Source organism: Homo sapiens, chromosome 18, assembly GCF_000001405.40.
Source record: "Homo sapiens chromosome 18, GRCh38.p14 Primary Assembly".
Classification (NCBI taxonomy): Eukaryota; Metazoa; Chordata; class Mammalia; order Primates; family Hominidae; genus Homo; species Homo sapiens.
In genome coordinates, this window is record NC_000018.10 from 13,310,077 (window position 1) to 13,332,619 (window position 22,543).

General features: G+C 44.3%; 1 protein-coding gene across 39 annotated transcripts in view, besides 2 other annotated features; it reads left to right on the forward strand.

Moving 5' to 3' along the window:
* LDLRAD4 (low density lipoprotein receptor class A domain containing 4) overlaps positions 1-22,543 on the forward strand; it is a 435,073-nt gene that overhangs the window by 92,395 nt on the left and 320,135 nt on the right. The window lies entirely within an intron of this gene.
* Positions 8,736-9,237: an enhancer, noted in NCBI's record as "H3K4me1 hESC enhancer chr18:13318811-13319312 (GRCh37/hg19 assembly coordinates)". NCBI's record gives its function as "activates a minimal SCP1, AML or CMV promoter by ChIP-STARR-seq in primed H9 embryonic stem cells {active_cell/tissue: H9 hESC(primed)}" and the evidence as "EXISTENCE:reporter gene assay evidence [ECO:0000049][PMID:30033119]".
* Positions 10,704-11,203: an enhancer, noted in NCBI's record as "H3K27ac hESC enhancer chr18:13320779-13321278 (GRCh37/hg19 assembly coordinates)". NCBI's record gives its function as "activates a minimal SCP1, AML or CMV promoter by ChIP-STARR-seq in naive H9 embryonic stem cells {active_cell/tissue: H9 hESC(naive)}" and the evidence as "EXISTENCE:reporter gene assay evidence [ECO:0000049][PMID:30033119]".

Below are 22,543 nucleotides of genomic sequence, written 5' to 3' on the forward strand. Positions count from 1 at the left end.
CGCCAGGAATCCCAGCATGTTGGGAGGCTGAGGTTGGGGGATCGGATTGCTTGAGGCTAGGAGCTTGAGGTCAGCCTGCGCAACATAGTGAGACCCCTGTCTCTACCAAAAAAAAAAAAAAAAATTAGCCGGGTGTGGTGGTGTACACCTGTTGTCCTAGACACTTAGGAGGCTGAGGTGGGAGGATCACTTGAGGCAGGAGGTCGATGCTGAAGTGAGCTATGATCATGGCACCACTGCCCTCCTCCAGCCTGGGTGACAGAGTGAGACTCTGTCTCTTAAAAAAAAAAAAGGGAGATATTGGTGGGCCTGCAAGGACATGCAGTTGGATAGAATTAGGACCATGTGTAGCATGGTGATAGACGTTGTGGTTGAAAAGGAAAAAAGACAGTCCTTGCCCTAGAGGTTTTGCGGTATAATCTAATCAGAGAGGCCAGCAGCATGGGTGTGGAAGAACCAGGAAAGCCAGAGCAGGGCTTTGTGGATGCTGCTGGGGGTATGGAGCAGGCAGTGACAGCTGCCTGGACCCCTACCCGCCCCTTCACCTCCTCTTCCTCCCTCAGTCTTGACCTTAGCTCCTTCCCAGGAACCTGAGGGTTCTGAGTCACTCACTGTTTGCATCTGGAATAACAGCTTCCAGGTGGGTTTTGAGCATCAGTTTGGTTGTGTGCTTTGTCATGTTTTGGCTTATCTCATTTACTGTAGATCATCTGAGATTAAATCCATAAATTAATGTATTTATTTTTCCTTATTCTTATATTTTACTTGAGAAATTTTGCAGAGTCAGACTTTTGCTAAGGAGATGATTTGACATGTTGGAAAGATGCAGATTCTGGATCCAGAGAGACGTAAGTTCAATCCCTGTTACATCCGCTAGCATTTCTGTAGCCTTAGGTATATTACATAACTCACAGAGTCTCAGCTCCCTCCTCTGTAAAATGCAGAAAGTGATACCTCCCTCAAAGGGCAGATAAAGGATAAGGGCAAATAAAAACTCTATTGTTGGGGAAGACAGAGGATGGATATGGCCTTTCCTATCTTATATTTCAGATCCATTCATTCATCTGTCCATTCAGCTGTTGAGTCCATGAGAGCTTACTGGGTGCTTCTGAGTACCAGGACATGTAATGGGTGGGACACAAACACAAATAAGACCCCATCCCACCCTCAAAAAGCCAGACAGGGACTGACTTCAGTCTTTGTCAGGGGTGGATGGTGGGTGCAACAGAGCCCACTCAGGCCTCCTGGCACCTGCCTACCGATCCACCCTCATGTGAAAGAGTCTTTGTGCATCCTGGTGGCGGTGTTGCGGGTGGCAGGAAGCTCTGATGGCCCTCCGGGCTTGGCTTCTGCCACACTCCCAGGGACTGCTAAGGAGTCGCTTTCCAGCCGTGGGTGACACTGCTGGACACCTCTCAGAGTGTCCTCTGAGGATGAGTGTCATCCTCAGAACGCCGGCCACACTGGGCAATGTTTCCAGCTGGTTGTCGCCATGTTCTCAGGGGATATTTCGTAGAGGTCTTTAAATGCTAAAGCATTGGGCATTGTGACAGCTGGCGATGCTGCTGGCACTGTGCTCTTGAGGGAAGGCGGGCCTGGATGTGGAGGGTATGCCCAAAGGCCTGAGTCCGGAAAGGAGTTCTGCATTTCCATGCCGCCTGTGGCTCACCTGGAAAATAAAAACCTGTAGGAATAGTTACAGGCTGAGCATCACTAAGCTGAGAATCTGAAATCCCAAACACCCTCAAATCTGAAACTTTTTTTTTTTTTTTTGAGACGGAGTCTTGCTCTGTTGCCCAGGCTGGAGTGCAGTGGTGCGATCTTGGCTCACTGCAAGCCTCCCCTCCCGGGTTCACGCCATTCTCCTGCCTCAGCCTCCCGAGTAGCTGGGACTACAGGCGCCCACCACCACACCCGGCTATTTTTTCTTTTGTATTTTTAGTAGAGACGGGGTTTCACCGTGTTAGCCAGGATGGTTTTGATCTCCTGACCTCAAGATCCGCCCGCCTCGGCCTCCCAAAGTGCTAGGATTACAGGCATGAGCCACCGTGCCCGGCCAAATCTGAAACTTTTTGAGTGCTGACTGCAAGTGGAGAATTCCACAGCTGACCATGGTGCCGGGTGGCAGTTTAAACTTCATTTCATGCACACAATCATTAATAATATTGTATAAAATTATATGTGTAAGGTGTATGTGAAACATAAATGAATTTTCTGTTTAGGCTTCTGCCTCATCCTGAAGATATCTCATTATGTACATGCAGATATTCCAAAATCTGAAAAAATCCAAAATTCAAAATGCTTCTTGTCCCAAGCATTTCAAATAATGATATTCAACCTGTATATACTTAAAGGACCACAGGAAGGCATCATTAACAAAACAAGTTGAGGGCCAGGCGCAGTGGCTCACACATCAAAACTTCAGGATGCTAAGGCGGGAGTACCACTTGAGGCCAGGAGTTTGAGATCAGCCTGGGTAACATAAAGAGACCCCATCCCTACAAAATGTACAGAAATTAGCCTGGTATGATGACATGTGTCTGTAGTCCTAGCTACTGAGGAGGCTGAGGCAGAAGGATTGCTTGAGTCTAGAAGTTCCAGACTGTAGTGAGCTGTGATCGCACCACCGCACTCCAGCCTGGGCAACAGAGTGAGATCCTGTCTATAAAAAAAAGGAAAGAAACAAAAATACACACAAAACTGAGTTCAAGGTTAAATATAATACTACGCATTTTTCCTCTTGAAAGTATATGAATGAGATACCTTAAATAATCATAGCGAAACCACTTGGGAAAACTCTTCCTAAGCTTCAGTTGCATTATATGTTCTCTGTGATGTTTTCTGACCCACCTGGACTTTGAAAAGATGGTAAAATATTGTAAAAATAACACGGCTCTGTTTGTGCGTGCTTTCCATTTTTCTTCTTTACCTTTTGCCTGGTCACTGACTTCGTTAAGGGGAGGATGGGCTGCTGTGCGTGCTGTGTGGCTTGATGTTTGTAAGGATTTTTGCAGGTCACATGCTAAAGAGGGTCCCACACTTCATAGAATTTTGGGCGGCTAGAAGGATCTGTTATTTGTACGTGTTCTGTTATCTCTAGTCTTTGGAAAGAAGGGCAGGCTTGCAAACTTTTTGTGTCCTTATTTGCAGAGTCCTATTTGAGTTGGCGTTGTGCACGTGACCTATGCCTGACCTGCTTGGATTAGGACGCCAGCCTAGGTTAGCCCCATGGCAGAGGCTGAGGTGTTATTCCCTAGCTCTGACTGCAAGAAACCAATTCCTTCCCCACAGCCCACTCACACAGAGCACACTAAGTTTTCCCATACCTTGGCTGTGTAGACAAGGGCTTCAAGAACCATTCAGACGTGCCCTTGAACACTTCTTCCTGTTGCAAGAGCGTGCAAGCTTGAGTCGTTTTTATCTCTGGTGAACCCGGTTTCCCGTGGTAAACAGTTGTTTTAAGCACTAGCCCACAACCCAGAGCTTCAGAACTGCCTTCCCCCGCCACCGTCCCCCGCACGGGGAACTCAAGTTAGGCTTCTTGGCCCTTACGTGTGGATGTCATTTGAACAAGAACGTTTTGCACCTATTGATGTACTGCGTTTAATTGTACTTAGCTGTTTTCTTAGATCTTTTTCTCTGTGAAATCATAGGGACTTTGAGGACAGTGACGGTTTCTGCCTTTGTTCCCTACACCTGCAAAACATGTACCTGTGCCTTGTGAAAATCCAGCCAACAGCCGTGTGCGGGGGGGTGCCCACGCATCTCCTTGATGACATATTTTAGCGTTTGGATTAAGGAGAGTAGTTTGTTTGGTTTTTATTTTTATTTTTATTTTTTGCAGTTTATGTGTTGTGATGTCAGAAAGAGAGGGAAGTAGAAGAAAGCATTATTATTTTATTGCAATTAGATGTGACCGCAACACATTTTTCCCTGATCTCAGCACATGCCTTACTGATACTGCGTGAAGAGATTTAGTGCAGCCAGTGTTTAAATATCGGTTTCTAAATGGTTGGTATCAGGTGAAGAAGCAACACCTTCAAGTAATTTTGGTAATGAGTTTGGCAATCAGTGGGGCCCGAGGGGAGATAACTTAGTACGATTTATGGTGATTTTGGCATGTTTCCTAATGGCTCTGGATTTCTCAGTTACAAAGTGGTAAATCAGAAAGGAGACTTTAAAAGAGGCAATTTTGTTCTGATTTAGTGGAATATTTTACAAATAAGAAGTAACAAAGTTCTGTGAGTTATTTTCTGGAAAAATTGTGACTTATGTTTTTAGATTGTTAACTTGTGTCAAATAATTTATTGAAAAAGCGATTTCTTAATGTTAACATTTTTCTGTGATGTGGCTGCATGTACAGGCACACCTTGGAGATGTTGTGGAATACCCTGTAGACCGACATTCCCACGCAGTGATCTTGAAAAGCTGGACAGAGTACAAAAGAAAGGTGGCCAACACTGGAGGGACCAGGTCCTGAAGAGGAGGGAAGCTCATGGGCTGAACGCAGTGTTCTGTGATGCTTTTCCTCTTGAGATGTTTGCTGGCTCATAAGGGGCATGGAGCTGGATAGGTGAAGAACAAAACAGAAAGTGGTGTCCAGAAAACTAGGACCATGCATGGAGCTTGTGGCAGTCTTGTAGGGCTGGGAGACAAAACGTAGAGTTTTAGCTACAAAGGCTGTGTGAGTGTAAGAGACCGAGATCCTGGGGAGAAGGGAAAATATTAAGGTGAGCCTAGTAATCTGCACTTGTGTTCTCCTCAAGGCATTTGCTGATGTGTTAGCTCAGAGGCTATGAGAAGGGAAAGCTATTATTATTATTGTTGTTGTTGTTGTAGAGATGTTCTCGTACGTTGCCCAGGCTGGCCTCAAGGGATCCTCCTGCCTTGGCCTTCCAGAATGCTGGGATAACAGATGAGAATTACCACACCCAGCCAGAAGGCTATTCTTAAAGACTAGGGGAACCAAAACTTGGAGTTCAGGGCATGCCAAGGAGGAGGAGCCCTGGAAAGCACCTAGACTTCCTGTTAGGTCCTGACCCCAACCTAGGAATAAGAGTAAACCTGAAATAGTTTAGCCTTCACAAAAGACCGGGACTCAGCCTTGAACCCACTCAGTTCAGAGAGGATTATGGCACCCTGCCCTGCTCTGCCTGCCAGAAACCAGAGTCAGCGCTCTCTGAAGGATGATAACATTGGCCAGGGCCTCCAGTTCTCCTGTTAGTTTGTAATACACAGTGTTTGGTTTTCAATAAAAAATTAAGGTCCAAATGATTAAAAGATGAAGGAGAAAGAGTAAAAGCCAACAATGGAAACAGCAACAGGTGATGTAGTTTTTGGACTAATGAGATACAGATTTTAAAAGCATCATCATTAATATATTCAAGAAAGTAGAGGACAAGATGGAGAATTGCACAAATAAAATGGAATGTATAGGCCAGGCGTGGTGGCTCACACCAGCACTTTGGGAGGCCGAGGCGGGAGGATCACCTGAGGTCGGGAGTTCAAGACCAGCCTGACCAACATGGAGAAACTCCATCTCTACTAAAAATACAAAATTAGCCAGGTGTGGTGGCACACGTCTGTAATCCCAGCTACTTGGGAGGCTGAGGCAGGAGAATGGCTTGAACCTGGGAGTTGGAGGTTGTGGTGAGCTGAGATCATGCCATTGCACTCCAGCCTGGGCAACAAGAGTGAAACTCCGTCTAAAAAAAAAAAAAAAAAAGAATGTATAAAACTGGACTTAAATGGAAATTCTGGGAATGAAAAATACAATAAATGAAATGAAGAATTAAATATAAATTGGATAGCAGATTGCACATAGGAGAGTGAACTCTGCACTGTAGATTGACAGAAAATATCCAGAGTGAGGCATAGAGAAGAAAAGAATGAAAAAATAGAGGAAAGAGCATGAGAGCCACGGAGATGTGGAGAAAAGGCCCAGCGTGCAAAGGTGAGGGACGGTGAGAGGAGAGAGATGGGGGTGCCAGCAGGATTTGAAGTGATACTGGCTGAGAAGTATCCCAAACTCTGTCAGACATGAAGCCATAAATTCAAGAAACTTTACAAACTCCAAACATGGCAAATACACAGAGAACCACACCTGACATGTCACTGCAAAACTAGAACACAAGGCAATGTGGAAATGTAGATGGAGCTGGAGGTGCATCTGAGTGAAAGGACAGCTCTACGGCTGACAGCTGACTTTTCCACAGAGATCATAGAAATCAGATGACGATGAAATGACAGTCTTTAAAGTGGAGAAAGTAACTCTTTTCCTAGAATTCTATTCAAAAATGAAGGCCACCAAAGGGCATTTTCAGACAAACGGAATCAGACAGAACTTGTCACCAGAAGAACTATAGTAGAAGAAATTATTAGGGAAATTCTTCAGGCGGAAGGATAAAGGGTCCTGATGGAAGCATGGGAATGTAGGAGGGAATGCAGAGCCACGTAAACAGCAAAGCCACGGGTGGTTCTGAGTGGACAGCGACTACCTGTCACCAGCAAGTCACAGCAGTGCCTTGTGGGGTGTGATGTGCAGGCAGAATTAAAACACATGATGGTAACAGCCTTGAGGGTGGACGTGGAGGGTGGGTGCTGCTGTTGTTAGGGAAGCTGTTGGAGAACTAATTTCTCTTGGGAACTAGTGAGTTAGGACACATGTTACAATCTCCAAAGTAACCACTAAAATACTAATAATGCATGATGCATGTGGTGACAGAGGAGGGAAAACTGAACCGATAAGAAGTACTCAGTGAATCCAAAAGAAAGTAAGAAGGGAGAGATGTACAAACCAAACAGATGGGATAAATAGAAAACAGATAGCAACATGGTCAGTTTTCACTCAAACACTTCATAATTACATAAAATGCAACTGAACTAAATATGCCAGTTAATACCGAGATTGTCAAACTGAATATTTAAAAAATTGCTGCTTACGATAGACGTGCTTAGATGAAGGAATCCAGAAGGCACGATAGTGAAAGGAGGGAGAAGGATGCCCGGTGCACACACTAGCCATAAGGAAGCTGGTGCACCAATGTCAGGTGAAGCAGACATCAAAGCATCGGGCATTGCCAAAGATAGCAGCTTCTCACAGTGGTAACAGGTGAATTCCCAAGGATGATAGTTTACTGTAAAGGCAGGGTCTATAGCCACAAAAAAGATATTTCTTAAATTGCCCCTACACGTATCCTAAGCTCTCAGGGATAGCTTCAACCTGTAGAGACTCCCAGTTTCTTTAGCCCGAAGCCTAAGGTACACATCCCCAAAGCAATTTGGATGGAAGATCCTGACCTGCTCAGCTATTCAGATGATTTTTTTACTGAAAGAGTATTTCATTTTTGTCTCAATTCATTTTGATGGACTTACAGATAAGATTTCTTCACTAGAAGGCATTCATCACTTAAAAAATTAATATTTGAAATTGGTTATCCTTTATCTTTTTAATAAATTGAACAATTAGGATTGGTAGAACAATGGTACACCTGTCTATTTTCCGTGGGTGCCACTGGGAAGACCTTACAGTATTGTTGAAGTGTATCTGTTGAACCTGGCAACATTCAAGGCAGGCTGAGTTAAAGAAAGCACGTCACAAGACAGTATGTGCACTGTGATCCCACTTCAGTTAAAAATGTGTATGTTTATATTCATATAGAGAAAAGTCTGGAAGAATAACCCAAAATATAAGTAATGTTTCTGTCTGAGTGGTGGGATTATGGGTGATTTTATCTTCTCTGTTTATTTCTATTTTTGTATTTTCTCCAATGAACGTTTGTTACTCCTATAATAAAAATAAAAGCCATTTAAGAAAAAATTTTTTATCATATGACACCAACTGTTTCTACTAGAGGAATCTATGTCTTCTTTTAATCTTTATCAGTGTACACAGTTGAATTTCACATTATGTTAAATATTTGTCTCTCTGTGTCATCTGGAATAGAATTTTCTGCATTACCGTGTGGTTGAGTATACATCTGCCACTCGTCCGGTCCCTCGCTTCCTGTCCTTGTGAAGTCACTGTTCCCTGAGTGTTGTCAGCACTGGGAGGGTTCAGCGCAGGGGTCCCTTCAAGGCAGGACCGCTCACCTGGAGCTTCCGGCTTTCCCTGCGCACCACTGCCTCCTTCCCCTGCTGCCTGTGGCCATCGCTGATTTCTGGGGATGGAGCTTTAATTCATAGTGAAATCTTTTTTTTTTTTGAGACAGAGTCTCCCTCTGTCGCCCAGGCTGGAGTGCGGTGGCATGATCTCAGTTCACTGCAACCTCCGCCTCCCGAGTTCAAGCGATTCTCGTGCCTCAGCCTCCTGAGTAGCTGGGACTACAGGTGCATGCCACCACACCCGGCTAATTTTTGTATTTTTAGTAGAGACGGGGTTTTACCATACTGGTCAGGCTGGTCTCGAATTCCTGACCTCAGGAGATTTACCTGCCTTAGCCTCCCAAAATGCTGGGATTCATAGTGAATCTTAAGTGTGACCTCATAAAATAGAATAAATGCCCATCCATAAGACTAAAATTTCTTGTGTTTTTCTCCTTCTGAGTTTAAAATGGCACTGGATGACAAATGGAAAGCTTGATGCTGCTCTTAATGTGCCGCTAGGCATTCCGGGGATTTCAAAGCCAGTGGACGGGAGGTGGCCTCTGCCAGTGTCTGTCTGGTGTCTGTCTGTGTCACTGTGGTGCTGCCTGGGCCACAGACCTAGGCAGGACCCTGGGTGATGGAGCTCCTGTCTGGTGGGTGTGTGTGGGCAGTGCTGTTCCTGTCCACGTTAGAAAAGCCCTCTTACTTTACACTGAGTCATGCTCCCTCTCCACCACGGACCGCAGTCCCCTTCCCTAGTGACTCGCTGTCCCCTTCCTTTGTTGCGCAGCTTTCTGGCTTTAAATGAGGAGAGCTTAAGAATGGATGGGGAGCTCAGCACTCACAGTAACTGTTGGTGAACTCAGGGCCTGCTACGTCTGGAACACATCAAGCCATTTAGTGGGTGAGGTCATTCACTGTTTTTAAATGCTGCTGCAGCTCTTATTTCTCATGAAGCCCTTTATACCTATTAAATACTTCATAGTATTGATTAACTTAGCTGCTGCTCCTCTCTGTCATGGCACCTTTTGCTCATGTGGACTTTATGGTGCAGAAACACGAATCGATTGTCGTAATGAACAACACCCCTCTGAAGTGGCCACGGCGGGTATGATTCGTCCCAGTTCACGGGCGAGTAACAGAGGTGCGCAGTGGCGGGGCAGCTGGCCCAGGTCGTGCAGCTGCTGTGCGTGAGCCAGCTCGCTCCTGAGTTTCCTTTTGTTTGACAGCATTTTGTTTACAGACACCACACCAATCCTTGGTCTTGGATACATCAGAAAAGTTGGAGTTCTAGAGGTGGGTGGAGGCAGGACTTGTACCCTCTCCCTGCAGCAAAGACAAATTCATTAAGCATTTGGAACACTTGTTAAGTTCAGTTTGTCTCTCTCTAAAAGTTATCACTAGATGACTCTCTCATTTTTGTGTGTGCGTGTTTTAGATTTGCCTGTAACTTACGACCAGGGATACTGGCTTTCTATTTATGGTAGTAATAGCAGTTCTCCTTTTAAATAAACTTATTTTCAGCCAAAAGAGTGATTAGGTCTATCAAAAAATGATAAGGAAATAAACAGTACAGATCGTCTATATTTATGGCAAAAACCATGAAAAGGGCATTCCAGGGGCTGAATTTTGGAAACCCCGCATGAGATGACCTTTGAGGTCAATATTTCCGGGAACAGTTGCCTCATAGCTCTGAGACTTACGATTTAAAGCTCAGGTCATGAGACATTACTTGAGGCCACTATGTCTCATTTCTATTATAATTTTTATAATAAATGATTCCTTGACTGATATACCCAAGGGAAGAAAGGATGAAAAACCAAAACCAAAAAACTATGTGTGGCCTATTCACAGAGTATAAAAAATTATGTTTTGAGTTGAAAACAGTGTTGTCTGCATTGTTGCAGGAATCATAGTTGACTCCATCCTGAGATTTCAACTTTAGGATGAGATAACATATTTTATTGCATATCTGATCATAAGATCTTCTGTAGTTTTATACATCGTTTCTGTTTACAAGAGAGAATGCTGCGCCTCTGAGGGAAAAGAATCATTCGCAAGTCTTTTAGCTGCATCTCTGACTTGGCGAATCCTGCTTTCAAGATTGCATTAGTCGTATTAGGTGACTGACACTGTGAAGTCCTGTGTTGACGTAATCTGTTGCCTTTTCTTTATTTTTACGTTTCCGCTGCCTCTCATCTAGGAAGGAGCCTTATGAATGAACACATTGAAAAGTCATCCTTTAATTGAGGGAAGAGACTACTTTTAACCCTGTCTGAGCCTGCTGCTCTCCCCCTGGGACTGCAGTGACCAGTGCTCTCAAACTGCTTGGCATAATTCCTTATGGAAGAGTGAATCCCCTCTGATAGAGGGTAATCCTGACTTTGTTTGAATTCTTCCAGTAACAGAGAGCTCAGCCTGTAAGAAGGTGGCCCAAGTTGCTTTCTGGACACTTGTAGTTTTAGAAGCATCTTCTGTCCTGTGACGGTGAGGAAGGTCACTGCAGTCCCCAACAGTGAGGCTCAGCACAGGCTGTGGGAATCCCGCTGCCAGGTGCAATGGCAGGGTGGAGCCGGGGAGCAATGGGGCAACTCTACGTTTGAGTAACGTGTGACGTGTTGACCTCATTGTTCCCTGAGTGTCACAAATGCCCATGGCATCTGGTAGACCGTGTTCAAGTTTAATTCAGGAGTTCAAAGCCTAACAGGATTGTTGTCATTCCCTCCCAGTGGGACCCTCCAGAAGGTGGCTCCTCTCCGTGACTGGACATAACAAGCCACGCCTGTGTCTGCAGGTGGGGAAAAGTAAATTGGAGGCCAGGCATGAATGCACTGTTTCAGTGAGCCCTAGTGAGTTCAGTGTGGAGAGCGTAGTTGGAGATACTTGGTTTTGCAGCTCCCCCGCCCTCTTGTGTTGATGAAGGCAGCAAGCAGAGGTGGTTAACTTCGGCCCGAGCATGCTGCAGGACTCCGAGAGACTGGCTCCCTGGGTCTTCTCTGGCCCAGCAGACAGGCTGCCTGCTGCAGACAGGCCGGTCTCCTGCCCCTACCCGCCGTCTGCACACTCAGCCCTGCATCTCCCCCAGAGGCCTATGCGCGGTTTGGCTGCCCGGCCAGGTTCCTCCTGAACATTATGAGTCTGTGATTTCAGATGTAGCTGCAAACGTTTCCAAAGCCTATCTCTGGGCCTATCGCCGTGTGATGTTTTAAAACCATAGTTTATTTGGCTTTTTGTGGCTATTTAATTCTCTTCGGGACTCATTCATCTCCCTCAAATTTTAAGTGGTTGTTTACAGCTCTGAATTATTTTCTTTGTGTCCTCTTGTTTCTAGTCTTTCCCATTCAATTTTACAGCTATCAGGTTTGGATAATTAGAATGGAGATTCTTCTTCCAAAAATAAGGTATTAAGAATAAACACACAAGGCTGGGCGTGGTGACTCACGCCTGTAATCCCAGCACTTTGGGAGGTCGAGGCGGGTGGATCACCTGAGATCAGGAGTTTGACCTGGCCAACATGGTGAAACCCCATCTCTACTAAAAATGCAAAAATTAGCCGTTGTGTGGTGATGTGTGCCTGTAATTTCAGCTGCTCGGGAGGCTGAGGCAGGACAATTGCTGGAACCAGGGAGGCAGAGGTTGCAGTGAGCCGAGATCGCGCCATTGCACTCCAGCCCAGGCAACAACAGCGAGACTCCGTCTCAAAAAAAAAAAAAAAAAAAAAAAAAAAAAAAAAAAAAAAAAGAAAAGAAAAAGAATAAAAAGAATAAACACACAGACTTAAAAATCTTTATTTGTGCAGAAAGCAATTGAAAGCCAGAATAATTATATTTAGAATTTTTTTTTTACAAAAAACTAGCAATGCTTGTTCTTTTTATTGAAACACAGAAAATATTAATTCACAGCATAGAAAACTTTATCCTAAGAAAAAAAATCTAGTGGTGATCTCATCAGAGTCTATGTTGTATTGCGACACACTTAACATAATTTGAAAATTACTTCTTTGTGAAAAATTGTCTACATTATCCCTTCTTAATTTTTTTATGTAAGGACTTTTACTTCACAGCTGATTTTTAAAATGGCTCTCACTTCTTTATTTCTATTATTTATTTAAGCCAGTCACTTTTCTCACTTTTTTTTTTTTTTTTTTTTTGGTTTTGAGACAGAGTCTTGCTCTGTCTCCCAGGCTGGAGCGCAGTGGCGCAATCTTGGCTCACTGCAACCTCCACCTCCCGGGTTCAAGTGATTCTCCCAACTCAGCCTCCCCAGTAGATGAGACTACAGGAGTGTACCACGACGCCCAGCTAATTTTTGTATTTTTAGTAGAGATGGGATTTTGCCATATTGGCCAGGCTGGTCTAAAACTCCTGACCTCAGGTGATCCACCTGCCTCAGCCTCCCAAAGTGCCTCCCAAAGTGGCGTGAGCCACTACACCTCGCCTGTCATCCATGTTTCTTTTCTTTTTCTTATTTTTTTGAGACGGAGTATCGCTCTGTCACCCAGGCTGGAGTGCAGTGGCGCGATCTCAGCTCACTGCAACCTCTGCCTCCCGAGTTCAAAAAATTCTCCCACCTCAGCCTCCCCAGTAGCTGGGACTACAGGTATACACCACCATACATGGCTAATTTTTTTTTTTTTTTTTTTTGATGGAGACGGGATTTTACCATGTTGGCCAGGCTGGTCTCTAACTCCTGTCCTCAGGTGATCCACCTGTCTCGGCCTCCCAAATTGCTGGCATTACAGGCGTGAGCCACTGCACCAGGCCATATTTCTCACTTTTTTGTACTCGGCTGTACCCCTTACAGATGGATAATGTAAATTTGTGTCACACAAACGCTTTGACTCAATTTTCTTTTTCTTCACAAATAGTTACAAAATTGGTAGCAGCATCTCTCTGGATTTCTACTTTTATGAAGCTTGCTCAGGGAGAAGCAGGTGGGAAGAGGAGTAGTAGAAAGAAAACCACGTCCTTCTCACTCCACAGAAAAAGCTTTTGTTTTTTAGAAATTTGCCTTTTAAAAGATAGGTCTTTATCCATTTCACTTTTCTGCATACATTTCTTTTTGTAGACACAGGATCTTGCTTTGTGCCTTGGCCTCCCAAGTAGCTGGAGCTATGGGCGCCGCCACTGCGCCTGGCTGCAGCATGTCACGCATTTGCTTTCACCAGGGATGCCCCTTTTTATCCTCAGTTCCTGAAAGTGAGCTCTCGTGCTGTGAAAATGGCAGGACTGGTAATTAGGAGAGGGCTGGATGTGGGAAAAGGAATGAGGATAGTTTTTGCGTCCTGAGCTGGAAATAGCAAATGTGTTCACATTCTTTGCTCTTTTCTTGCTTCCAAGTCAGGTCCTTATTTGACAGGGCCGTGACTCAAGTGAGGTGCCACGTTTAAGGAGGCGCCAAACTCCAAACAAAACAAAACACCCCTCAGTAACTGAGTTAAATAATACTTTAATGTAATATTAAAAGTATGGAAATTATGACAGATGTGCGTGATGAACAAAGTATTCAGCATATGGGACTGTGACTATTGTTCAATATATATAAGGTATAAGGATTTCCAGTGAATACTCTGAAATGTTTGGTTAATCTATTCATATTGGTATTTTTCCTTGGTGAACATTTGTAATAAAGAAGGAAATAAGTTCAGAGAAGGATATAATCTTCAAAAAGTCATCAGAGTTATCATCTGAGGTCAGGAGTTTGAGAGCAGCCTGGGCAACATGGTGAAACTCCGTCTCTACTAAAAGTATAAAAATTAGCCGGGTGTGGTGTCACTGCCTCTAGTCCCAGCTACTTGGGAGGCTGAGGCAGGAGAATCGCTTGAACCTGGGAGGCAGAGGTTGCAGTGAGCCAAGATCGTGCCGCTGCACTCCATCCTGGGCAAGAGTGAGAAAAGAAAGTCATCAGGATTAGCATACCAAATCTTGACGATGAATTACACGTGCGTGGCTCCATTAACCATCTTGAGTTCAAGTGTCTATTTTTTTTTTTTTTGAGACGGAGTCTCGCTCTGTCGCCCAGGCTGAAGTGCAGTGGCACGATCTCGGCTCACTGCAAGCTCCGCCTCCCGGGTTCACACCATTCTCCTGCCTCAGCCTCCCCAGTAGCTGGGACTACAGGTGCCTGCCACCACACCTGGCTAATTTTTCGTATTTTTTTTTTAGTAGAGATGGGGTTTTACCATGTTAGCCAGTATGGTCTCCATCTCCTGACTTTGTGATCCGCCTGCCTTGGCCTCCCAAAGTGCTGGGATTACAGGCATGAGCCACCGCGCCTGGCCTCAAGTGTCTATTTTTTGACAAGGTTCTGAAATTACGAACTCTCTGAGTATGTCCCGAGGACCTTCTATGCGCAGAGAACAGTGGCAGAACGGGGAAGAGGGAGAAGCGGCCTGTGGGTTTATTAGCTGGTGGCTTCTCGCAGGAGCACGTTGACTCTGAGGCCAGGCATCCGGGCAGCAGGGGAGGGGCTGGCGTGGGCTGCTGCTGATGATCTGGAACCTCCAGTCCCTGTCTGCTGTAAACAAAAAAGTGTCTGAGACAGGTCTCAATCAATTTAGAGGCTCATTTTGCCAGGGTTGAGGGAAAAAGACACACACGTCACAGTAGGACCCAAAAAGGGTTTCGACAACTTCATTATTTAAAGAGGAAAGAGCAGACAGGAGGGGAAGGTGGAAAGAAAACAGCAGAGGTAGGTGGTGAGGTGAGTGGTCGCATTCTTGTGAGGCTTTGATTTTCGCTCACTGAATACATGTGACATGTGAAAGGAGGGGTAGAGGGACGTCAATTACGCATGCGTCTCTTGTTCAGTAAATCTGCATTTTACACGGGATAAAGTAAACATAGAGTAGAGGAAGAAGTCATGTACACATTTGTCTCAGGGCGGCAGAGGGATGATTTCTGGTCTTGTCTTTGTGCCATGCCTGCCAAGATGAGCTGTTAACTTACATTGTTAGGGTGAAGGAGGCCTCCTGGGGAGACACGTGGCCTTCTATCTTGCAGCAATCTGTATAGGAATAAAAGGAAAGTCAGCTTTTTGCATCCAGCTTAACTTTTCCCTTTGGCATAGTGAGTTCGGGGTCCCAGGATTTTATTTTCCTTTCACATTTTGAAGTGACACTTGCAGTCGTGGCTATGGACTTCTCAGGGAGGCCAACAGCAGAGCTTTGATCCCTCAAGGAAGACGCAGAGTAGGATTTCAAGAGGTGGAGATGCAGAGTGCACTAAGCCTTTGAGACGGCTCCAACCAGAGTTCTGCCCAGTCCACTCCCTTGGTGGAAAACCAGCTCCCAGACCCACCTGGCACCACACACACCTCCCCTCGCTGCCCGGCCTGACTCCATGACTTGCAGTCCGCCCACCCCCTTTAAAGGGAGTTTTGGGGCCACTCCCTCTCCTTGCTTCCTGTGGACTCCTCAGCTGCTCAGTGCCTCCTCTACTCTCCCTCTCCGCGTGGGCAACGCTGAAGGCCCTTTCCAGGCCGATCCCGGCACTCAGCTTCGCTGCGCACCCGCCCGTCTCGGAACTGCTGAGTACTCTGGAGCCAACCCCAGTTTCCTCATCTGTAATGTGGGGATGGCAATATAAACTTTTTTCCTTTTTTTTTTTTTGAGACGGAGTCTTGCTCTGTCGCCCAGGCTGGAGTGCAGTGGCGCAATCTCGGCTCATTGCAAGCTCCCCCTCCCGGGTTCACGCCATTCTCCTGCCTCAGCCTCCCGAGTAGCCGGGACTACAGGTGCCCGCCACCGTGCCTGCCACCACGCGGAGCTAATTTTTTTTTGTTTTTTTAGTAGAGACGGGGTTTCACTGTATTAGCCAGGATGTTCTTGATCTCCTGACCTCATGATCCGCTTGCCTCGGCCTCCCAAAGTGCTGGGATTACAGGAGTGAGCCACCACGCCCGGCTGGCAATATAAATTTTATATGGTGACATGTGGCTGATAGCTGAGATGAGTGACTGAGGCAGAGGTCTCAATTGTTGACGTTTATTAAGCCAGCTTTAGGGTGCATCTGGAAAAATACCAGCCACAGACACATCTGTATCTATTTTTCTAAAGAGGTTTTCAGGAGGCTTAGTATTTGTATGTTTCCTTAAAGGGGGGAAGGCTCGGAAGAGGGGCAGGTGGGCTGTAAGGCGAATGATTACATTCTTGTGAGACTCTAGTTAGTGCCAGTAAATCTGCATTTTACATAAGATAAGGTGAATGAATGTTTGAAGAGAAAAAAGGGCGTAAAGGAAGAATCAATTATGCAGATGTCTCTGGGCAGGTGGAGGAATGACTGATCTCATCTTGTCTTTTTTCTGCACCTGGGAAGCGAAGCTTGTAATAGACATGATCAATGTGGAATGGAACAGACTTCAGTTTTAACCTAGAATCAGATTGTAGACGTGAAGTTACAATGAGATGTTCTTGTTTATGGGATGCCAGCAAAGAATTTACTTAGGAATGATCTATGGGGCAACCCTTCCAGACCCCTGAGGCTTTCACTTTTCTGCGGGGTTTGGCTGATGCCTGATGCTCCTAACAGCTGTTCCTGGGGAAGAGGGCATTGCCTGGCTCACCCTCTTGGCTTAACTTTCCCTTTTGCGTAAGGAATTTGGGGGTCCCGAGCTTTTTTTTTTTGTGAGATGGAGTCTCGCTCTGTCACCCAGGCTGGAGTGCAATGGCACGATCTTGGCTCACTGCAAGCTCCGCCTCCCAAGTTCACACCATTCTCCTGCCTCAGCCTCCTGAGTAGTTTCCTTTACATGGTTAAATGAGACCAAGTGCTTACTGAAGTGTAAAATAGCAGGTGCTGACAGGAAAGGCAGACATCTTTTTCTTCTCATTGTCACTGTTACCATCATCAATACGCTACTTCCTTGGCATCTGGGTCTCCCTTTGCTTTGGGAACCCTCCTCTTGTGCTTTCCTAGAAGTCAGTGTCTTGTCCTGGGCTGTTGCTTTTCTGCTTGACTCCCTCTGTGGGCCGTGGACTCTGCGGCAGAGTCCTATCTGCAGGGCTTCTGCATGGTTATCCATTGTCTTCTGAAGAAATGATGATGTTAGTGATGGAGCCACTTTGGTTAGCGTTTTGTTAAGTATGAACTTGTGAATCCTTCCCACAGCTGTGCAATATTATTACCTCCAGGGCACAGCATCTGGACTTTAATTGATGATGAGTGTATGTGGCCCCAAGGGACATGGGGCCTCGAAATTAAGGAAGGAGCTGGAAGTAGTGGACAAGCAGCAGCACCACCACGTGGAAAGGTGAAAAGTTGGATAAGGACTGGCTGAGAAAATGCCATCAGAATAGCAAGAGGGGGTCATTGTTGAAGAGCACAGCTTCAGGCAAGTCTTTGAAATCAAAGCCAGATTTCAAGGAAGTCGGAAGGAGCAGATGGAGAGGAAGTGGAGAGATTTCCATATGGTGCGTGTATTTTTTTTTTTAATTAAGGATTTTGGTGTTAAATGGAAGTGGTACTTGATGGCCTAGCAGGATGAAACAAAGTTTGTTTCTAAAGATAGAGGGACATGGGCTCACTTTTAAAGAGAAAGAAAGTAGGTGGCCATTGAGTTATGAGAGGTTGAGAAGCCGGAGATGGTGGGCCCAGAGACCCACAGAGCAGGCTCTTTGAGAGCAGCAGGTCTTCCTGCTCAGGGCCTTGCTGGTGCTGTCACGAGCCATATCCCCTGGCCTCCTGCTTTGCTTCTGGGCTGTCATCAATCTGTTTTGTGGTGTTCTCTGAGAAATGAAATTAAATCCTAAGCTCCCAGCCAAATGAATGGACCCCCTCTTGGCCAAGGGGCACCCAAAGAAACCTTAGAACTGAGTCCTGGCTGTGACAGGAGGGGAAACACGCCTCATGAGACCCCCACCTCGCTGACCACCATCAGGCTCTCCTCCCTGCGGGCTAGAAGCTCCATACTCATTTCAGCAACGGCCTGATGCTGTCCCTCCCTTTTGTGGTTTTGACCAAACAACTAACCAGCATTCTCTTCCTGATACAAAGCCGCTGACCTTGGAGTGGTTCTGGTGAGTCTACAGAGGAGGCTCAGTGAGGGTTCTTGTGTCCTCTGCTTCACCTTTTGATGTCACATGGCTAAAAACTCCATCCTTGGATCATGCTCATGCCACCATTTTTTAAACATGGGTCCCACAGACAGAGAGGCATGAAGCTCAGTGTGCATGTGCCTGTTTCTCCTTTCATAAATATTCATGACTCCTCCTAGAGCTCATTGAATATGCATATTTGGCAGCCCCATTCAGCATAAATCCCTGTCTTATTCTTCCCACCCTTGAAGTGCCTGTTTCTGGCTTCTGGCCGGAGGCTACACTTCCCAGCCTGTCAGAAGAGCCACCTGCAGGCTGCAGCCCTTTCTGAGAAATAATGCCCTCCTTTCCAAATGCATGAACTTCATCATTCTTCAGCTGATATGTCCTTATCCCATGTAGAAGGAAGGATCTTAGTGTTTATTGAGCGTCAACTTTGTATAAGGCTCTGGGCTATCTTATATGATTGTCACAATAATTTTAGAATATATTAATGTGTTCATTTATACCTTTAATTTTTAAAATTTGCGTTTTTAGTCAAGCAGCTCAAAAAACATATAAAAAGATGTTTATTGAAAAGTTTCCCTCCTATGCCTATTCTCCATCCATCCAGTTCTCCCACTTCCCAATATTTAGTTGTTTTTATTATTTTCTTGTGGACACATTCCAAAATTTTAAGCATATAAAATAAACATAAAAATATTATTTATCTTTTATGTATAAGTTGTGGAGTCTATATACACTGTTTTACACCTTGCTTTGTTTCACTTAAAGTTTACCTTGGAAATCCTCACATATCAGTTCACAGAGAGCAGCCTCATTCTGTTTTACAGTTGCATAGTTTTGACTGGATTGAATGGATACACCAGATTTTTTAACCCTGTGTTGTATAGATAGATGTTTGAGTAGTTTGCAGTCATTATATATTATGTACACATATTTTCCCGCATGTGAAAATGCATTTGTAGGATACATTCCCAGAAGTGAAGTTGCTGGGTTAAGGGTATATTTATTTGCAGTTTTGAGTGATTATTACTGAGGCCCATCTTTAGGCTTGCACCAGTTCACACAATCATCAGCAACATACTAGAGGCCTGTTTCTCTGCATCTTTGCCAACAGAGCATGTTATCAGTTTTTTAAAGGTTTCTGTCAGCCTACTAGGAAAAAAAGTAATAGAGTTATTTTAATTTGCATTTATTTTTATTATGAGTGAGGTTGTCTTTCCACAGGTTTATGAGCTGTTTGTATTTCATTTTCTTTTACTGTCTGGTCTTATTCCTTTCCTCTTTTCTGGCCAGATCATTGGTCATCTTGTAGATGATGTGGTCAAATCTATCAGTCTTTCCTTTTGTGACTTCTGCATTTACAGTTACAGTTAGGGAGCATCTTTCAAAATTATAAAGGAATTCTTCCAGGTATTCTATTACTTTTAGAAAGTCATTTTTTTCAAACAAGACAAAATACCCAAATCGTTTATCTTTGAAATTTATCCTGCTGTGGTATGAGTTACGGATCCAATTTTCTCCCCTAAATGTTACCAATTCCAATATCATTTATTGCCTAATCTGTCTTTTACTCACTGATTTGAAATGCTGCCTTTACCATACACTGAATTTCTGTTTGCATTTGGGTCTAGTTTTAGATTCATTATTCTGATTAATTGGCCTGACTTCTTGTTATTTTAACCATTATTCTTTTAATTAGTCTATTAATTTTTGAGGCTTTCTACATGTATCCTTATCTGATGTAACTTCCACTCCCTCCAATTTTTTTTTTTTTTGAGACAGTCTCACTCTGTTGCCCAGGCTGGAGTGCAGTGGCGCGATCTCCGCTCACTGCAAACTCTGCCTCTCGGGTTCACGCCATTCTCCTGCCTCAGCCTCCTGAGTAGCTGGGACTACAGGCGCCTGCCACCACGCCCGGCTAATTTTTAAAAATATTTTTTAGTAGAGATGGGGTTTCACCATGTTAGCCAGGATGATCTCGAGCTCCTGACCTCGTGATCCACCTGCCTTGGCCTCCCAAAGTGCTGCTGGGATTACAGGTGTGAGCCACTGTGCCTGGCCTCCCCTCCAGTTTTTTTAGTACTACTTTTTTGTTAATTTTTCCACTTTAGCTTTATAATCAAGCTTGTCTAGTTTTCAAAAATGTGGTATTTTTTATTGTGATCATAATACATTATACATTTCAGAGAGTTGGCATCTTCAGGGTGTTGAGTCTTCCTGTCCTAATCCTCGTGTATCTTCTGTTTCTTCAAGTCTTCTTTTGTGTCTGTTGTTTCTGTAGTTGTCTTCAGAAAACTTTATTAATCTTATTGGTGGTTATTCCTGGAAACCTAATCTTTTTTATTGCTACCGTAAATAGGATCTGATTATTTGTAGCCTACAGCAATTATTTGCAAATAGCTATCTGTGATATTATAAAATATGTGTTTGGTCTTCGACCCCTTTTCCTGACATACAACTCTAAAAATCCTTAGAATCTCCACAGTGATGTCTTTTGTATTTTAATGACCGACTGATGGGTGGCAGCCCGTAGATAGCTCCAAGATGGGGCTGGTCACCAGAAAGACCAAGGCATTACTAGAAGATTGGAACCTTCAGCCCACCCCCACCCTCCAGGGAGGGGAGAACAGGTGAAGGTTAAGTTGATCACCAGTGGCCAATGATGTAATCAATTATGACCATATAATGAAGTTTCCATAAAAACCCAAAGGACTGGGGTCCAAGAGCTTCTGGATAGCTAAACACATGGAGGTTCCTGGAGGGCTGCACCCCTGGGGAGGGCATGGAAGCTCCATGTTTCTTCCCCCATACCTATGCATCTCTTCATCTGTATCCTTCCTAATAAATGCTGTATAATAAAGCAGTAAAGGTAAATAAGTGTTTCCTTGAGTTCTGTAAGCTGCTCTAGCTAGTTAAACCCAAGAAGGGGGATGTGGGAATCCCGATTTATAGCTTGTCAGCCAGAAGGACAGGTCACAAGTTGAGGGTAGTCTTGGGGACTGAGCCAACAACCTGTGTGATCTGATGCTGTCTCCAGGTAGGGAGTGTCAGAACTGAGTTGAATTGGAGGACAGTTCACCCAGGGGGTGTCCATGCAGAACTACTTGCTTGGTTGGTGTGTGGGGAAGCCCCCTCCCCACATTTGCTCTCAGAAGACTTCTGTGTTGATTGTTGTGTTGTGAGAGCAGAGGAAAAGTTTGAGTATTTTTCCACACCATGATGTTAAAAGAAAAAGAAAGAAAAAGAAAAAAGAGAAAATAAGCCCTCCAGTTTCTTTCTGTAACTGTTATCTGACCACATTAATTAGTACCTCCAGTGCAGCGTTAAAATACGGTGGTGATGGAAGTATTCATGTTTTCTTCCGAGTTTTGCATCTGGTGTTTATTAAACATGATCAGTGTAACTAATTTTGATAATAAATTTCTAATGTTGAACTATGTTTTCATTTCCTAAATAAACTGCACTTGATTATGTTTTGCCCTTAATGTTGGATTAATCTTGCAATGCTTTATGATTTTTCTACTGACTATAACCATGAACAGTATACTTTTTGTTTGCTCTGTTAGGCTTTAATATCAGTGTCATTTGTACTTCTTGTAACAACTTGGAGGTTTCTCTGTTTCTCTTTTCTAGAGAAGTATAAGTATCTTCGGAATTTTCTTTTATTAAAATAATTTTTATTTAGAGCCAAGATCTTGCTCTCTTGCCCAGACTGGTCTTGAACTCCTGGGCTCAAGTGATCTTCCTGCCTCAGCCTCCCAAGTAGCTGGGACTTCAGGTGTGTGCCATGGCACCTGCCAGATGGCTTTAGAATTGTAAGTGGTAGTTGACTTCTCCAGAGAAACTGTCTTAGCGCTCTTTGCAGGGGGTGGGTAGCCTTTGATAATCTTCTCTATTTCTTCCTGTGGAATTGAGTTCAAATAGCTTGGTACAACAAGTTTTGGTAAATTATACGTTCTTAGAAACTTCATTTTATTCAGAATTTAAAATTTATTTGTAGCAAGGTGAGCAAAACACAAAACATTCTTTTTTGGGTTGAATTTTTTAAAAGTATTTTTTAGAGCAGTTTTAAGTTCACAGCCAAACTGAGCAGACACTACAAAAATTTTCTCATATACCTCTCACCTTTGCATAACCAGCCTCCTCCGCCATCAACATCCCACACCACAGTGGTACATTTGTTACAATTAATGAGCCCATACTGAAACATCATCACTGAAAGTTCATAGTTTATGGTGGAGTTCACTCTTGGTGTTGTACATTCTGTGAGTTTGGACAAATGTTTAATGATGTGTTCACCATCAGAGTATCATATACAGTAGCTTACTGCCCTAAAAATCCTCTGTGCCTCACCTGTTCATCTCTCCCTCCCCTCAACCTGTGGCAACCACTGATTCTCACTGTCTCCATAGTTTTGCC